This window comes from Homo sapiens, chromosome 6, assembly GCF_000001405.40.
Source record: "Homo sapiens chromosome 6, GRCh38.p14 Primary Assembly".
In the NCBI taxonomy this organism is placed as follows: domain Eukaryota; kingdom Metazoa; phylum Chordata; class Mammalia; order Primates; family Hominidae; genus Homo; species Homo sapiens.
Genome location: NC_000006.12, coordinates 108,904,547 through 108,925,747, shown reverse-complemented (window position 1 = coordinate 108,925,747; position 21,201 = coordinate 108,904,547). Strand labels below are relative to the sequence as shown.

The following is a 21,201-nucleotide window of genomic DNA, read 5'->3' as shown; positions in this document are numbered from 1 at the left end:
AAAAATACACAGCAATAGCTCAATAGATGACACCATCAACCTAGTTGCTCAAGCAGAGATATCCCAGAATCCTGCCTTTCTGCTTTCTGTTACTCCAAGCCATATTGGCTTTTTGTCCATAGCTCCCAGGATAATATTCAGTTCCCTGACCATGGTCTACAAGGCTCAACAGATCTGTTCCTTCTCAACCCGTCAAGCTTCATCTCATACCATATATGCCCCCATAAACTCTACTTAATGCTAGGTTATTTAATATTATGGTTTACTATCTGTCTACTCCTCCAGACTAGACGCTTCAGTGAAGGCATAAACCTTGTTCATCCTTTTCACCATTGTACATCCAGCTCCAAGTCCAGTGCCTGGTACATGGTGGGCGCTCAATAGGCATTTATTAATGGAATGAATGAAGGGGTGGACATCTACAAAGGAAAGACTGGGATATCAGAACACCATGGGCTAAGCAGACAATATCTCTGAGGTAGACAGATTTTAAGATTTTTTTTGAAAGCAGAGGAGTAAAAAATAATGGATGAAAGAAAAATGGACTCTGTAGTTACCCAGCTCAGGCTAACTTGTCTATGTTTAAGACCTTTCAGAGGCCGATCAGTCGCTTCCTCTTCCGTGTTAACAAAGCATCCTGTTCCTGCCTCTATAACCCCCATCCATCACAGAATAAAAAATAACGGATGAAAGAAAAATGAACTCTCTGGAAGGGGACCAGCCTCTGTGTATTTGTTCTCTAGCCTATCTCATTTCTGACAGCAGCTCCTTCCCAAGCTCCTAAACTCCCGGGCCCCACCCCTTTCCCCACCTGACTGGTCACACGTTCACCCCTTCTCTCCATCACCAGCGTCACTGGTTCAGTTTAAGCTCACTTCATCTCTTACCCAAACTCTACAGCCCCCTGGATGGGCTCCTTCCACAGTTTGCCCCCATAGCTGCTCACTGCTGCCAGAGGGGGCATCTCAAAGCTCCGCCTTCCCTGCTCAAAGGCCTCCTGCGACTTCCGGCCCAGCCAGTAGCACCCATAGCCTAAAGGTTCCTCAGTCTCTGAAGTGTGGTTTATCCCTCCAAACTCATCTCCTTTGCCTCGGCACCACCCTGGCCATCTTTCAGACTCTGCACCACATGAGGTCCTCAACCCTTCATGACGCCATGCCTTTGAATAGGCGGCTTCCTCCGCCCAGAGTGCCCTCGATTACACTTTGCCACCCCTTCTCCCCCGGGCCATCTCCTGCTCATTTTTTTCTTTTTTCTTTTTCGAGACAGAGTCTCGATCTCGGCTCACTGCAACCTCCGCCTCCTGGGTTCAAGCGATTCTCCTGCCTCAGCCTCCCGAGTAGCTGGGATTACAGGCAAGCACCACCACACCCTGCTAATTTTTGTATTTTTAGTAGAGACAGGGTTTTGCCATGTTGGCCAGGCTGGTCTTGAACTCCTGACCTCAAGTGATCCGCCCGCCTCGGCCTCCCAAAGTGCTGGGATCACAGACATGATCCACCGCGCCCGGCCTCCTGCTCATTTTTCAAAACCCAGCTCAAGATAACTTCTCTGTGAAGTCCTTTCCGAGGCTGATCAGTCACTTCCTCTCCTTCCTCTTCCGTGTTACCAAAGCATCCTGTTCCTGCCTCTACAACCCCCATCACAGAAGCATTGTCACTTGTCTTCAGGCATCTTCTCTCCCATGGTGAGCTCCTCTAGGGTACAAACCACTTCTTATTCCTCTTTCTATTCAGAGGACAACAAATGTGCTCATAAAAAGCTCTTAAATGTTCAGCTACTGGAGGGCTGGAAGAGTGAATGAGAAGGGGAAGGAGGAGGGGAATGAGGAGGGGGAAGAAAGAAAGAAGGGACAGGAGCGACAAAAGAGAGGTTTTTCCCTTTAAGACACCTCTGGCAAGAAAGTGCGGGAGCTTAGCAGAGGCCTGGGTGAACCAGGGCCTAAAACCCTGAGGGAGAAGGATCAGGAAAAGGCCACCACGCAGATGCAGCTCTGAAGGCCCTGTATCTTGAGAGACTTGTCACCAACCTCTGAGAGCCACCAATCTCACTGTGGGATGATGGTGGGGCCCTGAATGCTCAGACCAGTGGCCTTTTCTGGAAAAAATGCAGGAAAAAAAAAAAAAAAAGGGTGTGGGGAGGAGAGTCTAGCTAAATCATGTGGTCACAGTAAAGGCAAGTTCCAAGTCAACCCATTTAACTGAATTTTGCTCCTACTTTTGAATTCATTATATACAAGTGAAAATTAAAAAAAAGAAAACAAGAACTCTCAGTTGAACAGAGATAAATCTGTGAAAATTATCAATGAGTTCTGTGCTCTACAGCAGGGTCTTTATTTCCCACCCTCAAGAAAAGCCCACCCACTGGGCCCTCCCCCAAAGCAGGAGTTAACCAAAGCCCAAGCTTCATGCTTGGAGGTGTGCATCCATTTCTTTCTTAACTTTCTATTCTAATTTATATTATCTATAAATGCACAAACTTAAACACACATTTTTCTTTTTTATTGTATATAATCTTTCAAACCACCTCAAATCCCTTACTTAAAAAAAGTCTTGTTTAGTCTCTAAAGGACTTAGTAGAGAAATTCTCAACCTCTTAAGTAGCATTTCACCAAGAAATAGCACACTGAAAAACACAAGTTTTAATTCCTATCTTTTCCCCCATCTCTTAACTTGCAATCCTGTGGGACTTGCAATCCTGAAGGCAGCCCATAGGAAGAAGAAAAAAGAGAAGAAAATGACACTGATAATCCACAAAGAGGACTAATACAAATGTAAGTTTCCTTGCTTATTAGCAATTGTTAGGTGATGTTTAGGACAAAAGGGGACCTAAGGTTTTGGTAAATACCCAGGAAGAAACATTCCATTTTGCTTCTGGTTACCAATCTACTACTGAAAAATGACTGAGCTACACTTGACAACTTTCTGGTGCTCACTTTTCTGAGAAAGCTTCTTTCCATGTTCCCCAAATTATTTGATCATAACAGGTACCACCCTCAGTCAGGGAAAACACCTGGAGACTTGGCAAAGCTACCCAGCTCACATTGAATTATGTAAGCCTCAAAGTTTTCATTGTGTAGTCAGTATTGGGAGACCCATTTTAAAGGGAAAAAATGTACTAAGAAGAAATTAGATCATTTATAAATGCACAACTACATTTTAATACAGTAAAATGAGAACTCAAAAGCTTTAGCTTCTGTTTTTTTCAAGTTGACTATAGGTACTTAATTATCAATTTCAAATTGTGTTTTCAACTATTAATTAATTGAGAAACCTTAGCAAACACAGGAAATATTTGTCTTAAAATATGGGGCTGGGCCCAGTGGCTCAGGTCTGTAATCCCAGCGACTCTCATGGCTGAGGCAGGAGAATCGCCTGAACCCCAGAGGCTGAGGCTGCAGTGAGCCATGCCTTTGATCGCACCACCGCACTCCAACCTGAGTGACACAGTGAGACTCTGTCTCAAGAAAAAAAAAAGGGTGGGGGGGCCCTCCGGACTTGGATCACTGGACTTGAGGACACAACACAGGCCCAGCAGCTGTGGTCTCATTCCTGCGTTCTCTACTGCAGTGGGTGGGTGCGAGGTGGGGCAACCTCCACACACACTGATCATGTCCAGAGTGGACGGCCCTCTCTTTTCCCTCTGTGCCCTTCCTCCATCAGAGTACTCTGTCCTCAAGGAACTCACCAGATTCTGCTCTAGAAGGCAACCTGCCATCAGAGCTGCCCCAGATCAGAGGAGCTTGTGACTCATTGAAGCTCAGAAGTCTATCAGCTCCCAGGTAGGCTAGTGCCCTGGCCTCAGTTTCTTGGTCTATTGCCTCCCTACTCTATTTGGCACTGGTCTCTAAAAGCATTTTGCAATCATCTGGAATATCCACAACTGAAATCCCTCGAGCTTTGTCTCAACTTAACTGCCAACTGCAAAATTGTTGACTTCCCACTGATGATGTAAAAGAATAAACGCAGCCGCCAGAGACCACAAACAGTGTGAAATGATTTATGACTAAAGCCACTATTTTCCAACCTCAGCTAAGCCATCTCCCTCTATTAATAAAGGCAGATTCATTTCTTTGAACTTGTGCCCAATTGAGGCCACATATATGCCAAAACCAGAGCCTGTGTGGTAACCCAAGAAGTTTCATATTGTCTCATATATGATTTGTACAGTTCTGGCTGAGACAAAAGAAACCAATGACAAGATGCTGCTAGACATGTGAAATCACTGGTAACATGCATGTCTAAGCTTTTCTTGGAATTTATTAAGATATATGCATATGAAGGTAATATTAATTAATAATCCTTGATAACACTCGGTGCCTGGCTACACAGGCCTACTTGGCACATCCCTACCATGGGTGTCCGACTTAGCAGGAAATGCTTCTGTCCTCCTTAAACCTCCAATGTCCTACTTTGAGACTCTATTTAACATTTGGCTCTGTTTATTGTTGTTTCTCCATTTACTGCCTCTATGCCAGTTACTTCACTAAAATGAGTAGGTAGCTGATTCTTCTAGTTGTGGCTATGTATGTATTCAATACAGGAGAAATTTTGAATATCATACAAACAATCTAGAATGGCAATGCAGCAAAACAAGAAAAAGGAGTCTGAAAAAGATAGTGCATTAAGAACTACCAAGCAATGAAACCACTATTCACAATTATATGCTAAAGCTAGTGACATTTCCTTACTGCCACAACTAATAGATCTACAGTGAAGAGAGGAGGCTGAGCAGACAGAGCACTAATTGAGAGCAAATGGCTCTCCTCAGACACAGTAGGAGCCTCATTTCCACCCTTGATCTGTCTTTTAGCATAACACTCCTGGCCATCCACCGCCCTCACTTCCTGATTGGTGAGCTTGGGACAGGAATCAGACCCTCCCAGTCCAGCCCCTACCTGGTCCCTCTCTTCCCTTCCTCTTTTAGAAGTGAGCTGCCATCAGAACAAAGGTGTTCTGCTCCTCCAGGGACAGACATGGTCTGTGACTGGGTGGGTAAATCTAATTCTAGGACTCAGGATTAGAAAGCATGCCTGCCTCAGCTATCAGCCACATCCTCCAACCACGGTGATAACTTTATCCCCATCCCCAGCCTCCTTAGCCTCTTATTTCCAAGTAAAAAACCCAAGGCATTACATATTTAGGTTTCTGAGTCTTCTCAGATCTTCAGATCTGCTGTCCCTGGAAAATTGGAGGAGAACATGAGTTGCCTATAGACAGCTCCTTCCTAGGAAAGGGAAGAGAAGGGAAGAGGAAGAACCTGGGCCCCAAATGCCTACTCTCTCGTGGCAACTGGGCACGTGAGTGGTTAGTTATGCTGCTGGCAATTCTTTTATAGGAAGGAAGCCCCATAAGTAGAAAATAGCTGTCTCCTTCCCATTAACAAATACATCATTAAAAAAGTGGCGGCACGTGCCTGTAATCCCATCTACTTGGGAGGCTGAGGCAGGAGAACTGCTTGAACCCGGGAGGTGGAGGTTGCAGTGAGCTGAGATCATGCCACTGCACTCTGGCCTGGGCGACAGAGCAAGACTCCATCTCTAAAAACAAAAACAAAAACAAAACAAAACAAAATAAAAAATTAGCCAGTGTAGTGATCAATACCAAAGACTAACCCCTAAAATAGCTTCATCTAATCTCAAAAACAATATGCTAAGCAAAATAAACCAGATATAGTACTCTAGGTAACTATGGCATATCCATATCAATTCCTATTGATAATGTACAATAGTTATGTAAGATATCACCACTGGGAGGAGCTGGATGATGGGTACACAGGACATCTCGGTACTATTTTTGCAACATCTTGTGAATTTATACTTAGTTCAGAATAAAAGTTTAAAAAGGTGCCAGACACAAAAGGGTACATGCTGTATATTCCGTTTATATAAAGTTTTAGAACAGGCAGAGCTTATCTATGGTGAAAGAGATCAGAAAAATGGTTCCCTCTGGGAGGAGGGTAGAAGAATGAGGATTAATGAGAAGAGGTGGGAGGAAATTTCTGAGGTGACAGAAACCTTCTGTATCTTGATAAGGGTAGGGGCTACGTGGCTTTCTACTTTTGTCAAACTCATCAAACGTATAAGATCTAAGCATTTTATTGGATGTAGATTATACCTTAATTAAAACAAAAAGAAAATTAAAAACCTCATCTACTGCTTGCTATTCAAGCAAAACCTTCAAAATAAATGCTTTAAATTTGGTTTAAATTATCAAATCTCCAAAAAAAAATTATCTGTAAGAACTTAGGAAATACAATCATGGGGCTATTTGCTCCCATTTTATAGGTATGCAGTTTACTTCCTCCAATAATCAGAGCAAAGTTCTACTGGTAGACACTGCTACCTTGGTTCTGATTGCACAGTCTGAAGAGTTAGGCTTCCAATAGGTGGGGTCGCGCAAGATAAAGAATTAACATAATTTCCAGCATAAGTACACATACTTATAATTATCTAAACACCTAAATACAAATGCATTAATCTCTACATTTAAAAACTATGAAACATAACTAAAGCAAGAGTTAAAAGACCCCGGCCAGCCTGGTACAACCTTCATTACTAATAATAACTTAAGTCACTGCTTGATCAAATCCCCAGACTTCAGTTGAAGGCCTCTCTTAAATTCCCCAAATCTTGAAGCAAAGAATAGCTGGCTCTGAGAATTGGGGTCCATCATGTACCCAGAATCCCATACATTACCCTAACACCCTCCTCCAATTTTAGTTTCTCTTTGGTGCTCTTCTCTACATTGCTTATCAAAGCCCGAACAAAAAGATTAAATATTTGAAAGTCATCTTGGACTCTGTCTTCTTAATTTCTTGTGATTACATTTTTATCCCATCAGAAATAATTGCTCTTTGAAGCTTCAGGTTTGGGTAATTCTGATCTTATTTTATTGAATGGCTTTCTGGTGAGTGCCTACTATGTGCCTTGCCCTGTTATGGGCGCTTTACTAGACGATCTCATTTCATTTCCTAGCTGCCCTTTAAGGCAGGCATAGTCAGCACTTTAGAGACAGGAAACTGAGGCTCAGAGGGTAAAGTGGGCTCAGTGTCCCAGCTGAGAGGCCAGCTTATGCTGGGGGCTCCAGTGCGGTGCTATCCTCACTGGACCATGCAGGGTGGCGGCACTGGGCCTGCCCCAGCATTGTCCAGGGTTGAATGAACCATCAGGGTTCCCAACGGCAAACAATGAATACAGGATTGAGCCCAGCTCTGCCAAAGTGGGGAGCTCACTCTAGGGCTCAGAAATTTAAAAAAAAAAAAAATCAAGTATATCAAAACATCTTTTAATTTAAAAATACAGAGCTAAAGAACTATGTAAGATTGAAAGAGAGCAAGAGAGCACACTGTTGCCCTAGGAGATGGCCCCCTCACACCCCTCGCTCGCCTATTCGCACGGCTCCAAACAAAGTGGTGGGATCCCTCTTCTCCTACACGCTCTCTGTAGCATTTGCCAAAGCTGACCCATCCTTGCTGAGAAAATCTCACTCTTGTACATTGCCCTTCATTTCCTAGTCACTTCCTTTTCTCTTCCCATTCCACAAATGAGGCCATTTTCACAGAATCTGTCATCAGTCCCTCTGCTCTTTCTCTACTCTCTCCTTGGGTAATTTCATTGTCTTTCTGCCTTCAACCATCAAATCCATGTAGATGACCCTAAATCTGTATTTTTGATCTTACCTGCTCTTCCAAGCCTCAGCTCATATCTCCTACTTCCTACTTGAGAGGCCTGCTGGCATCTGAAAGTTTTATATTCAAGCTAATTTCGGCCGGGAGCAGTAGCTCATGCCTGTAAACCCAGCACTTTGGGAGGCTGAGGTGGGTGGATCACTTGAGGTCAGGAGTTCGAGACCAGCCTGGCCAACATGGTGAAAACCCATCTCTACTAGAGACCTACTAAAACAATTTTAGTTTTGTACTAAAAATACAAAATGTAGCTGGGTATGGTGGCACACACCTGTAATCCCAGCTACTCTGGAGGCAGAGACAGGAGAATCACTTGAACCCAGGAGGCAGAGGTTGCAGTGGGCCGAGATTGCGCCACTGCATTCCAGCCTGGGCGACAGAGTGAGACTCTATCTCAAAAAAATATATATTAAAATTTAAAAAATAAAAATAAAGCTAATTAACATAATTTTCTTCCCACAATTTTCTTTCCTCCTCTCACCAAATCCAGTTCCTTTCTGTAACTCTCTAATTTCTATTCATGATACCATCATTTATTATTTTCTGAACTATCCAGGCTCAAATTGTCTGAGTCAGCTCTCTTTGTTCCATACACTTTCCTATTCCCTAAACCCTAAAAACAAAAGGAAGGAACCGAGTGAAGGAAGGAAAGGACTGATGAGGTGGGAGGACCGACCTTCCCGAGAGACTTCCATTTAGAAAAAGGAAGAACATGACAGTGGTATGGTACTGAGCAAGGGGGAGAGGATCTGGATTTGCGGGAGCTGCTAGGGAGGTGTCTGCAGGCTTAGGGGCCAGAGAAGCGGGGGTAGGGGGCTGTGGAGAGGAAAAGAAAACCATGTTACCTGGGGTGCTGCAGAACAGTTCTAACTTCAAAAACAGTATATCTAAAGAAGGCAAATAATACATTTCTCTAAGGATTGAATTCAAAATCAACTGGGTCAGGCTGTAAAGAAAAAACAGATTGGAAGTACAAGTGAATCCAAAAAATAGGCATGCAAGTTCAAGTCAATCTGAGCTTTAATAGTTACATTGTACACCTATAAATTACCTAGCTGTTAATGTAAGTACATTGAGATTTCCTTCAATCACAGCAAAGCAGCTTTGTACATGATGTTCTCAAGACACAGAGGACAAAGGAGACACCGGGAGAATTTGGGCTTAGTTGTGATTGTGACATAGACAGAAGACTCTTCTGTTCTCCAGGAAAGGGCACAACAGAGACCAAAACAGACTTTCAGATGGAGGTGACCCCAGGAGTTTCCTTCAGCTCCTGTGTCATGCCTGCCCGACTGTAGCTCTTTAAAGGTCACAGACGAACCCTAACACCTCATGATAATCCATTCTAGAGCAACACTGACAAGTCCCTCTTTCCATCTGTGCCACCTCCTTGGTGGTGCAATTTACTACTGGCATTTAGGGGCCTTGCCTGTTAGTTGGCCTATATTTCTGTTTTTCCAAGTTCCAGGGAGCTCACCCTAAATTCTAGTGTTCTGGAGTTCAGTGAACATGCACAGTTTAACCTGCTTTACTCTTACGACTTTACAGACAAACTCGCATCTCCAGTTTTGCCAGCCTGGGGCTATTCACGCTTTGACTTGATGCACAGGTGGCAGCACCCAGTTTCTCTGAGCATCTTGTCCTTCTCAAAATGCTATTACATTTCTGACATGCAGAACTGAATGCAATGTTGGCCATGTGGAAGTACCATAATTTTGCAGAAGAATAAGCATTGGAATACTATTATCTGGATACAGGGATCACCAAAAAGTAGGTGCCTACTGACAGCTCTCCTGTCTTACTCATCACCCAGAACATGTTTGACACAGAGCAGCCACGCCACAAAACTTGTGAAATGAGTGTCTCTTGATTTCAGCCACCAGGTGATAAACATATATCAATACATACAGCCATACGTATACATATATGTAAGAAACAACACAAAGAAGACCTTCCAAAGTTCAACACTGTGTTTTTTTTTCCTCTAAGCAACATTAGTCCGTCTGCTTTGAAGGAGCTTTTCCTTCATACCCATTCCTTTGTCTCCATTCTAATCAGTCTAAAATCTAACTGCAGCAATGCCTCTTAACTGGGGCTGCTGTGTTTGAGATCTTAGCCCTCCAATCTGTCATGTATCACGGATACGTTCTCCTCCCATCACTTTTCAGCTATTTGGTCTTTATCAGTTTAACATTTTGTGCACATTCATCTTTCTGCCGCTCTGATCTCATCTCGTCCCCCCATGCACTCACCTCCAACTGCTCCTTGTTGCCCCAAGTCCACTCTTGGCAGCTGGTATTCAAGACTCGTGGCTGTACCTTGTGAATCTCACCTTCCAAGATTCCCACACAGAATCTCTACTCTAGACAGCCCTACCTCTTCAGCACCTCCCAAACACACCTTATTTATTTCCCACTTGAGTGTTCAACATCCTTTTCCCTTTGTTCTAGTTTCCCAAATCCTGCACAATCTTCAGGGTCCAGCTTTGGAAGATGTTTTCCACTCTTTCAATGAGCCCAACGGAGCTGCTTTTGGAAAACAAGATGACTCTAACGCTGTGCCAGATGTTAAAGCAAGCGAAGTTCTGTAATATGAGGTCCCCAGAAAGTGGGCCAAAGCTCCTGAGGTTCTTGGGGTTGAAAGTCATAGAAGAAAAGCAGTCACGCCACTAGATGTTGCCTGCTTGTATCTTTTTGGCCCTCGTCATGTTCTCTCTGGCTGGCAGACATTATTTTATTCTTACTACAGCCACAAGTAATTTATTTATTTTTTCAATTGAAAAAAGCTGCTTTTAAAAATGCCTCCTGGCCAGGCACAGTAACTCACACCTATAATCCCAGCACTTTGGGAGGCCGAGGTGGGCAGATCACCTGAGGTCATGAGTTTGAGACTAGCATGGCCAACATGGTGAAACCCTGTCTCTACTAAAAATACAAAAAAAATTAGCCAGGCGTGGTGGCGGGTGCCTGTAATCCCAGCTACTCAGGAGGCTGAGGCAGGAGAATCGCTTGAACCTGGGAGGTGGAGGTTGCAGTGAGCCAAGGTCACACCATTGCACTCCAACCTGGGTGACAAAAGCAAAACTCTGTCTCAAAAAGAAAAAAAAAAAAATGCCTGCTGAGCTGGAGTTACCAGGTTCTCAAAGCTGGTGTAAACAGACACTTCTGCTTGTGGCCAGATCTGTCTGGCTGAATTTGCACATGAACCGGCTGGTGAAAAGTCAGTCAGTGTTACACATTCACAAAAGCAGAGGCTTTCATCTGCTCTTGGAGTGAAGTCTTGTTGCTTACATTTTATCATTTGTATGATACAAAACAGCTTTTGTTTTCATTAAATATGAGGAAATGTCCCATTCAGGGGATTCTGCAAATGACAAAGACTAAAACAATGTCTCCTTCCTTCCCAAATCTGTAAACACACAAACAGTGATACAGTTGATACAAATGGCATTTGGTGACCACAGCTGGAGTAAGTTCGGGTGGATGCCATCATGGGCTCCATTTTCTCCTGCTAGACAGGGGTGTGGGTCACCCATGCCAGGCCTTAGGCTGGTTCCAAGAAAGGCTTTGGAGACAATGACAGAGCCCACTGCCATCAGGTGGTGGCAGGTGGTGGTGGGCAGTGAGGAGGAACTTCTACAGCGCCCCCTAGAGGTGGGGGGACACAAATGTCAGGAAAGGAGGGGGGATCCGACCTGGTGAATCAGTTTGCACCTAAGGATGCTGAATCCAGGGGAAAGGGACATAAAAGAGTAACACAGGGAGTAATATACTATATGTGCACACCAGAGGTCCCCTTTCTTGATTTGATATATTTTTGGTCACAGTAACACTCAACTTCCCTTCATACCCACTGATCATATGTGTGTGGGTGCACACACATACACACACATACACACACACAGACATACACACACAGTGATATAGTTGATGCAAACAGCAAACCACATTTATATATGTATAAGATGGGGTTGGAAAGAGATTAACTAGACAAGAATCCCATAAGCTGTTACATAAAAATTTAAAACAGAGTGAATATCTCAATATGGGAATGGCTGAGAATTTGAGATATATCCTAATCACAGAATATTATGCAGTCATTAAGAAGAATTAAATAAGTCTTTAGGGTTAACTCAAGGGATTTTTACTACATATTGTTAAATGAGGAGAGAGAAGGGCATAGAATATTCCATTTGTTGAATCCTGTGTGTGTACTAAAAGGTGCTGAACACATCAGTGTGAACAATGTTAGCTAAATGGATAAACCAGAAGGAGAAACAGGGAGGGAAGAGAATGATAGCAAACAAACAAAAGTGACTATTAAAAGTAACGGGTTATTTAAAAAGTGAGAATTCTATTAAATTATGTATATGTATATAAATGACCACCAAAATGCTGGAGGTGTTATCTCAGGGTGAAAAAATTGCAGGTGATTTTTATATTCTTCCTTATACTTTTCAGCATTTTAACAGGAAATATAATTATTCTATAATTAGAAATTACTATTTTCATTGAGGGAAAAAATTAAATGATTCGATAACACTGGGAGCATGGAAAATGTTTCTGAAGTCTTCCTAGCCAAAACAGGGCATACAGAAAAACTGTGCATCATTGATGACTAAAAGAGGTTTTCACAATCTTCTTCAAAATGGAGACAGACCACAAAGTCCAAAATTAATAATCATCCTAAATATTTTAAGCATCTTGAAGGCAGGGCCTAAATCTAATTTTTAACACAGTTTCCCAATGGCTTAGTGTGCTCTGAGTGCTCAATCAATCCTCATTAATTGACAAACACATTTCGAATCCTATGAATTATTACATCAAAGATGCTATTATTTGATATATGAATGCTATTAAAAAGTAAAATCTCATCTAAAAGAGTATCCAAGCCAGAGCAGCTCCAGTGAAAATAATTTAACTATGAAATTTAATCTGCTACAACAGAAGTAATAAAACCCTAACATATAACAAAATTGGTCTACCTGCTCTGTTTATATTCCATGCGTCCAGTTTTGTTCCCTGCATTCCTACAGTCTCGGGGCTGCCTGATATCTACATACCCACCTCAGTGACTGTCCACTCAATCCCGTTACCTTCTGTTTCTTACAAGAGTAATGACATTAGCTACCAATCATCATAAATCATCTCCAGGCCAGGCCCATCTTCAACACTCTAAGCAGCTTGTTAAAATTTTGACTCTAACATGCAATTGTTTTGCAGAGAGGTACAACTTTTTCCTTCTTCCAGGCCTGCTTTCTCTGCAGGGCAGTGAAAGCGCATGCTGTGTGGAGAGCTGCTCTTGTAATAGCCATGGAATAGCCTGTCCAGGACAACAGGCACCAGGCCCTCATGGGGTGGAGGTGGGCTATGGCTGCTGCCCTTGGAGGCCAGGCACCCACACCTGGCTGTAGGGGCCTCTTGCATGCCATTCTTTTAAAACTGGCATTAGGCAATGTGAAAACTAATTTTACACATCTAACGTTTTCAAGTAAAATACTTACCTGGACTAGCAAGTGGCCCGAATTAGGCAAAAATGTACCACATTTCTTGATGTTCTCATTTATTTGTTTTATCAAATTTATCAGTATTTCCACAGCACCTTTGCTGATCATTTCATTAAGAAATCCCAGATTTCCAGAAATGAACTTTATAGACCCCATACAGTATAAAAAAGCTTCCATGTTAGTTTGCAGGTCTTCACTTCTTAGTACCTCCAATAATGATTCTGTCAAAAAGATTAATTATTATAAATGTCTGAGTATAACAGCTGGAGAGAAATATATTAAAGCACTTGTGTGTGAACATAAAATACACTTCGTAAAATATATTTATCAAAATCTACATTCAAGTGCTTGTTAAGAGTTATATAGTATAAGAGAAAAGCTTACTTTTAGCTAAGATAAGTCTCTGTAATAGTAATTTCAGCAGAAGGATGGGATTGTTAATAAATAAATGAGAAAGTATTCTTTTAATTAATGTCATTCCTTGCCTCTTACTAATTATTTATTGACCTTTATTTTTTGTTACAAAAATTTTGAGTCATAGAATACTAATAATTTAACACATCTAAGAGTTAAACTTCAACAAGCCTTTAAGAATATATTTGTAACTGTATTCTTAGTGGGAAATCCATGAAGGGGCTTAAAAAAAAATCTCAATCACCCTAGAAAGATAACTTGAATATAACGCCTATCCTTTTCCCAAGACAACTTAAGAACATTTATTCAAATAACATACCACTACTTGGTTTTACGAGTAATCCAGGCAAATCCAATAACGTTAATAATGCATATCTCACATTTAATTATATTAAAGTCAATGTAATAATTTGACATAATTTGTTTTCAGTCGACAATTCTTAATTAGTTGATTCAACATTAGACATTTCTTTCAGTACTGGTTTTGTCCCTATCTGCCAGGGGCAAAGAAAGATGAAAAGATAATTTATCCTATGTTGCAAAAAGAGAACTCAATGTATTTTCCATGTTGCTGCATGGAAAATACTTTGTATTTTCTTTTCTTGTATCAGCAATATTAATTAATAAAAAGATTTCCATTTAGGTAACTAGATATCTTAATTACTTAGAAGTACAACAAAAATTAGGCATTAGCTAGATAAGGTATAATAAAACTTCCTTACCTACAAATTTGAAACATGTTGATGTCAGGTTTCTATAACAGTTATAGATGTCTTTCAACTTTTAGTCATCCCTAGTATATTAAAAGACTAAAATTTTCAACTATGTCAAATACTATTAAATGCATTTTTCTATATATTAAATCCAAGTCCAGGAAATGAATTCTTAAATGGGGAACACTTTGTAAAGTCACATAATGTTACTACAGGTGTTGAAGGAAAAGAGCAAACTACCACAGGATGCATTCAACTGAATGTGGAAAACAGAGAAGGATGAAGTAAAAATGAGCATCACATAACTTCTGCATGTTTCTAGAAAACAAAATATTCTTGCTATCATTGATTATATATTTTCTCTCCAGACTTCTAATTTTTACTCAAGTACAGCATTTGCTCAATAGTAGCACTGAATGACACTCACCCAGAATGCTGTCATTTTGAATCAAAGAATCATTCTTCTCATTCCTGCTAATTTTAAATATAAGTTTGCAGACATTAAGAAGATTCTTTCTACTCACTTTAAGCTGCAGAGAAAGAAACACATCTCTATTGCAGAAGGAAATAAAGACATGCTGTATTAAAAAAAATAAACCACATCTATTTTTAAAGTACAGCAACAGTATTTTTAAACATGAAAAAGTTCTAAAGAAATCAACTTTGAAAAATTTAGACCACATATTTGCCAATTGTGGTATCTAATTAACTCAATTAGAGTAAACACAATATAAATTATCTTTAGAATAAACATTTTAATGACAGATCTTAGCGATTGTGAATACTGTGGAATAAACATAGGAGTGCAGATATATCTTCGATACACTGATTTCCTTTCTTCTGAGTATATACCTGGCAGTGGGGTTGCCAGATCATATGGTAGCTCTCTTTTTAGTTTTTTGAGGAACCTCCAATCTGTTCTCCATATTTCTTACTTCATAAAGTCTCTCTCTCTCTTTTCTTTTTTACAGAGACAGGGTCTTGCTCTTTCGCCCAGGCTGGAGTGCAGTGATGCTGCCATCACAGCTCACTGCAGCCTTGACCACGTGCGCTCAATCAACTCTCTTGCCTCAGCCGCCAGAGCAGCTGGGACTATAGGCTTGTGCCACTGTGCCTGGCTAATTTTTTCAACATTTTTTTTGTAGAGATGTTGCCCAGGCTGGTCTCGAACTAGCAGGCTCAAACAATCCTCCCACCTCAGCCTCCCAGTGTTGAGATTACAAGTGTGAGCCACCACGCCCAGCCAAGTCTCATATTTATATATGCGATTATTAGTTACTTTTAAAGGAGTATATGAGGAAGAAAGGGGTGCAGTACACTGTTAATAAATTTGATTAGAGTAATTGCATTAAAACACAAAAGTAGAGGAAGATGAATACCAAAATTTCACATTAATTTAGAAAAGAACACATAGTAGAGATGAAGGAAAGAAAAGAAAGGGGGAAAGTTTTGGTCTTTTTTATCATTTGTATAAAAGAAAATTTAAAAGTAATACTGCTTAATTTGATAATATACATATATTTCTTTTTAAGGTCTATTTCTGGAATGCTTTGAGATAATCACAAGTAACATCTAAAGTTGAAAATTACCTTCTAGGCTGGGCGCAGTAGCCCACGTCTATAATCCCAGCACTTTGGGAGGCTGAGGCTGGTGGATCATGAGGTCAGGAGTTCGAGACCAGCCTGACCAACGTGGTGAAACCCCATCTCTACTAAAAATACAAAAATTAGCTGGGTGTGGTGGCACGCGCCTGTAATCCCAGCTACTCAGGAGGCTGAGGTAGGAGAATCACTTGAACCCGGGAGGCGGAGGTTGCAGTGAGCCGAGATCGCGCCACTGCACTCCAGCTTGGGTGACAGAGTGAGACCCCGTGTCAAAAAATAAAAAAAGAAAAGAAAATTCTCTTCTAAATCATACAAAAATATCTAAGTAAATTAAACATGGGGTGATAAGGAAATATAGTGTTTTTTTTTTTAAAAAGCAAAGTATAGGATTACTGACGGAATCAAATGGTCTAAGTTAGCTGTGTATTTATCTAAAGTAGTAAAAAAGAAAAATAAAAAACATCCTAAGTATCTAATATTAGGGAATAGTTTATTAAATTGTGGGACATCAATACTATCATATTAAGCAGTCACAAAAAAGCATAACTGTGAACATTATGTCTAAAAAGGGAAACATTTGTAACCTACTGTTAGATGGAAATAATATGTGCCCTCATTACAAAGGTGTAAAAATGTATTTGTAGGAATAAGGTCATCTGAACAAAAAATTATTTCTGTTTGAAAAGGATGGCATATAGGTGATTAGTTTATTATTAAAAACTATCTTTAAAGTTATTTAATTAATTTATTTTTTGAGATGGAGTTTCACTCTTCTTCCCCAGCTTAGAGTGCAAGGGCATGATCTAGGCTCATTGCAATCTCTGCTTCCTGGGCTCAAGTGATTCTCCTGCCCCAGACTCCCAAGTAGCTGGGATTACAGGCACATGCCACCATGACTGGCTAATTTTTGCATTTTTAGTAGAGACAGGGTTTCACCATGTTGGCCAGGCTGGTCTCGAACTCCTGACCTCAAGTGATCCACCCACCTTGGCCTCCCAAAGTGCTAGGACTACAGGTGTGAGCCACCATGCCCGGCTACGACATTTCTCTCTCTCTCTCTTTTCTTTTTTTTCAGAGACAGGGTCTTGCTCTTTCACCCAGGCTGGAGTGCAGTGATGCCGCCATTACAGCTCACTGCAGCCTTGACCTCGTGGGCTCAATCAACTCTCTTGCCTCAGCCGCCAGAGCAGCTGGGACTATAGGCATGTGCCACCATGCCTGGCTAATTTTTTCAACATTTTGTAGAGATGTTGCCCAGGCTGGTCTTGAACTAGCAGGCTCAAACAATCCTCCCACCTCAGCCTCCCACATTTTATTAATGAGTTTTCAGTTACTTTAAAAAAATAATAGAATCTGTCAGGCATATTTGTTAAGTATTTGTTCTGTGCTTGATCCACAAGTATTTACTGGGCACCTGATGTGTACCAGGCGCTATGCTGCTCACTGCAGAAGACACCAAAACGGCCATGGTCAGCCCCCAGCTGGAGGGGCCTGGGGAGGGGAGCACTGCCTGTGGGGCAGCTTCTGCATACCCTCCTGCACTAGGCCACTTACAAAAGTTATTCTGGAAATTTGGTGTTGTCGTTCACACTTTGCACTTGAGGAGTGCGTGCCTCAGATAGGTCACAGAACCATCTCAGCATCACCTGGGCATGTATTAGGAATGCAGAATCTCAGGCCCCCCCCAGCACTACCGACTCAGAATCTGCATTTTACAAGATCCCCAGGGGATGCATGTGCACAGTGAAGTCTGGGAAACACTGTTGTGGAAGCTTCAGAAACTGTAACACATGGCAGAATGGAGATTCCTTCTGTTCCCAGGAGGAAAATAGGAAATGGGAACCTTAATAAATGTTTAATGATTAGGTATTTAAAATAATATTGTTTAAAACCCCCAGAAAATAAGCGGGCTTAAGAAAACAGAAGAACACAGCGGACACCAGGACTCTAAGATAGCGTCAGTTGTACCAGTGAAGGACAAGAAACTTCTGGAGGTCAAACTGGGGGAGCTGCCAAGCTGGATCTTGATGGGGGACTTCAGCCCTAGTGGCATTTTCGGAGCGTTTCAAAGAGGTTACTACTGGTACTACAAGTACATCAATGTGAAGAAGGGGAGCATCTCGGGGGTTACCATGGTGCTGGCATGCTACGTGCTCTTCAGCTACTCCTTTTCCTACAAGCATCTCAAGCACGAGTGGCTCCGCAAATACCACTGAAGAGGACACGCTCTGCACCCCCCCACCCCACGACCTTGGCCCGAGCCCCTCTGTGAGGAACACAATCTCGATCGTTGCTGAATTCTTTCATATCCTAATGGCAATTAACCTCCAAATAAAAGATGACTGGTAAAAAAAAAAAAAAAAAAAGAAAGAAAGAAAACAGAAGAACATTTCTATATTGATGGAAATATATATTATTCCTAATATCTGGAAATATATTTGAATTGGTTGACTACCTTCTACTAGATTGTGAGTCCTTGAGGTCAAAACCACAATTTATTACTCTTTCTATATGTAGTATGTAGGATGTGTTCCATACTTAATAAAACTTCATGAAAAAAATGAATACAACTCACTTTCCTTTTCCCCAACAAATCTTACATTTTTAGTAAAAAGTGGCAAAGGAAAACAAAACAAAACAAAACCTTGTATCAGAGTTTTCATTAAAACAATAAGAAGAAAAAACAAAAATGAAAACAAAGAAAAGAAAAAAGACAACTACAATTTCCAGGCCTGCTATAATGTCAATTTACAGTCAGTGCAAATTTGTACCGCTTCTCCATTGTTAACCGTAAAATTATGACTTTAAGACATAAAAAGATAATAAAATCTTACATTTATGCAAGGGATGTAGACGATCTTATTTTAAAAATTCCCTGTTACTCTCCCTTTCCTTTGCTCTGCTTTATTTTTCTCCCTTAGTTCTCATTATCTCCTTTGGTACCTGCTGTGTTTGCTGTCTGTCTGCCCTGCTACTGTGGCAACCCCAGAGGAAGGAGCTAGTTTATTCACTTGTATTCCCAGTGTCAAGAGGAGTCTCTGGCCAGGTGCAGTGGCTCACACCTGTAATCCCAGCACTTTGGGAGGCCAAAGTGGGAGAACTGCTCAAGGCTAGGAGTCTGAGACCAGCCTGGGCATCATAGCGAGACCCCAATTCTATAAAACATTTTTTAAAAATTAGCCAGGTGTGGTGGTGCATGCCTGTGGTCCTAAGCTCCTCGGGAGGCTGAGGCAGAAGGATCACTTGAGCCCAGAATTTGATACTGCAGTGAGCTGTGATCTCGCCACTGTACTCCAGCCCTGGGTGACAAGAGCGAGATCTTGTCTTTAAGAAAAAGAAAAAAAAAAAATGTTGGCACAAAGTAGGTTCTTGTGGTAGGGTAGTTTTCTTCTTATGTTAAAAACAGTAGTTTATTCTATTTAAAGTAAATTTGGCAAATTAAAGAAAAGTAAGAAAAGTTTAAAATCACTCATACTAGTACCACTATATAGCATCACAGTTGGTAATTGGTATTTCTTTTCTTTTTTTACCCTGTACATAGGGCGCTAGATTTTTTCCCTCCTAAATATAGTCACATTCATACTGTATATATTTGTTTGTACTCCTTTAAAAAATCTTAATATAGTAACATTTAAGCTTATATATTTTTGTATATTATTTTGTAAGAGTTTCTGACACAAAGATTAAAATTAAGATGACTGTCTGGAAAACTTTCATTTGCCAGTATTTGCCAATAAACAGGCAGAGAGAAGTTGTAAAAAACTTCTTAGTCCCATATAGCTTTAGTTTTTGCTGATTTTTTCTTCTTCAACAGTTCTTATGATGTAGTCTTTTAACATTTTACATAGAACCGCATCACCAAGGCCTAAGCTAAACAAGATCTTGTCTGGAATGTTACAGGAGATCCAGGCAGTAGATGGGAAGTTGGCCTTGATGGATTTGAAGGTCCCTTCTGAACTGCTGGTTCTGTAGCTAGTCAGAAGGCAAACCTACCCAGCTCTGCACTCTGGAGTTTAGCCTAGCATCTTGCTCCTGATTCAGCAAGGCCGTCAATGTCACCAAGAGGGCTTTATCTAATCATATGTTTAGTTCAAAACATGTTCACTGCCTGGCAGATCACTTAGCCTTTTGCCCTAAAATAGTTAAATTTGTGTCATATATATAATTAATTTGAATGACACCATTAATAACCGAAATAATATTTACTCTGCAAAGCATTAAAATAATTCATGTTCCTTCCTTCCTCCTTCCTTTCCTTCTTGCTCTTTCTTTCTTTTTTTTTTTTTCCTCACTCTTTCTCTCTTTCTTTGGCTTGGTATGGAACAAAATGTCTAGGATTCAGATTAAAATAGCAAAGGCAATCTTTGGGCAGCTGCTGCACCGCCAGAGCCCTGGAGTGATATCACTATTTCAAAGAAGTATTGCTTTCTTGACCACATATCACAATTTTTAAAAAGAGAGTTAATAGTTTGAGAGCTGAATAAGAATGTAGCCTCCCCCTGATATTACATAGATATATGCTCAGAAAATTCTGCTTTATGAAAGACTTCATTATCAGAATAAGAAAAGGTGGCATTCTTATTAACTAACAGTAAGTACGCCAACACTTACCTTCACTGTGTACTGTAAGATTTTAAATTCTGTAAATTATGGGGTGTTAGCACAAAGCTTGTACTTGTATGAAACCAAGAAAACAAAGCTTCATTCATTTGTTTTAGCGGCTCTCTTAGAACATTCTATAATAATTGTGGCTTATCTTTTGGTTCCAACTGTTTATGGCTGTGACAACAAAGTGCTCCCCTCAAACAGTGATATCATTTTGTTTGAGACAGAGTTTCTACAGACTTTTTTTTTGGTGTCTGGCCTTTTCTTCTCACACCTTGTGAAAGCCTTCTATGACCACTGAGGTACCTTCCTGTGACCACACGCAGCTGTATTTCGGTTTCACACTGGTTCCTAAAGCACCTGATTTATTATGACTGTGGCCTAAATTACTTAGTTATTTATTAAATCATATGACAGAATCAAGCATCCAAGAGAAACCACTGCCTGCACCATCTGCTACTGATCTCCAGTCAAGTTATTTGAGCAACCATTTTGAATGTATTTGCCTACGGTTATTTCTTTTTCTTTCTTGCCTTTCCTTCCTTCCTTCTTCTTCTTCTTTTTTTTTTTTTTAACTTAGTTGCAGTCCAAAAACGTTGAGTTTCTTTTAACATTTTCTATGTACTCAGCCTTAGTTCCTTAGATAATATTTCCTAGTCAAATTCTGAGATGT

At 40.8% G+C, this 21,201-nt stretch overlaps 2 protein-coding genes, 1 long non-coding RNA gene and 1 pseudogene across 21 annotated transcripts in view, besides 1 other annotated feature; 2 read left to right on the top strand and 2 right to left on the bottom strand.

Annotated features, from left to right (window-relative positions):
• The window catches only part of ARMC2 (armadillo repeat containing 2), a 204,619-nt gene that overhangs the window by 127,293 nt on the left and 56,125 nt on the right, over positions 1 to 21,201 (bottom strand). For 17 of the 19 annotated variants that reach the window (XR_007059340.1, XR_007059341.1, XM_047419396.1 and 14 more), the window contains 2 exons: positions 14,747 to 14,849; positions 13,190 to 13,413 (listed from right to left, as the gene is read on the bottom strand). Coding sequence is in view for 15 of the 19 variants with exons in the window: in XM_047419396.1 (XP_047275352.1) it covers positions 13,190 to 13,413; positions 14,747 to 14,849 (327 nt within the window). In the remaining 4 variants the exon portion in view is untranslated. Of the gene's footprint in view, positions 1 to 1,681; positions 5,540 to 8,531; positions 8,633 to 13,189; positions 13,414 to 14,746; positions 14,850 to 21,201 lie in introns of those variants that run through there. The other 2 variants (XR_942601.3, XR_942600.1) reach the window with 2 other exon arrangements.
• ARMC2-AS1 (ARMC2 antisense RNA 1) lies at positions 1,645 to 17,608 on the top strand. Its single transcript, NR_104137.1, has 3 exons — positions 1,645 to 1,687; positions 2,704 to 2,773; positions 17,005 to 17,608. It is a non-coding gene; the product is annotated as an ARMC2 antisense RNA 1 (long non-coding RNA).
• Positions 4,303 to 5,213: an enhancer, noted in NCBI's record as "OCT4-NANOG hESC enhancer chr6:109241738-109242648 (GRCh37/hg19 assembly coordinates)". NCBI's record gives its function as "activates a minimal SCP1, AML or CMV promoter by ChIP-STARR-seq in naive and primed H9 embryonic stem cells {active_cell/tissue: H9 hESC(naive and primed)}" and the evidence as "EXISTENCE:reporter gene assay evidence [ECO:0000049][PMID:30033119]".
• Positions 17,722 to 18,139, top strand: LOC124901481 (ATP synthase subunit f, mitochondrial-like). Its single transcript, XM_047419651.1, has 2 exons — positions 17,722 to 17,736; positions 17,822 to 18,139. Exons 1-2 carry the CDS (start codon positions 17,722 to 17,724, stop codon positions 18,137 to 18,139), a joined length of 333 nt encoding a protein of 110 aa, XP_047275607.1.
• On the bottom strand, positions 17,852 to 18,271 carry ATP5MFP2 (ATP synthase membrane subunit f pseudogene 2; annotated as a pseudogene).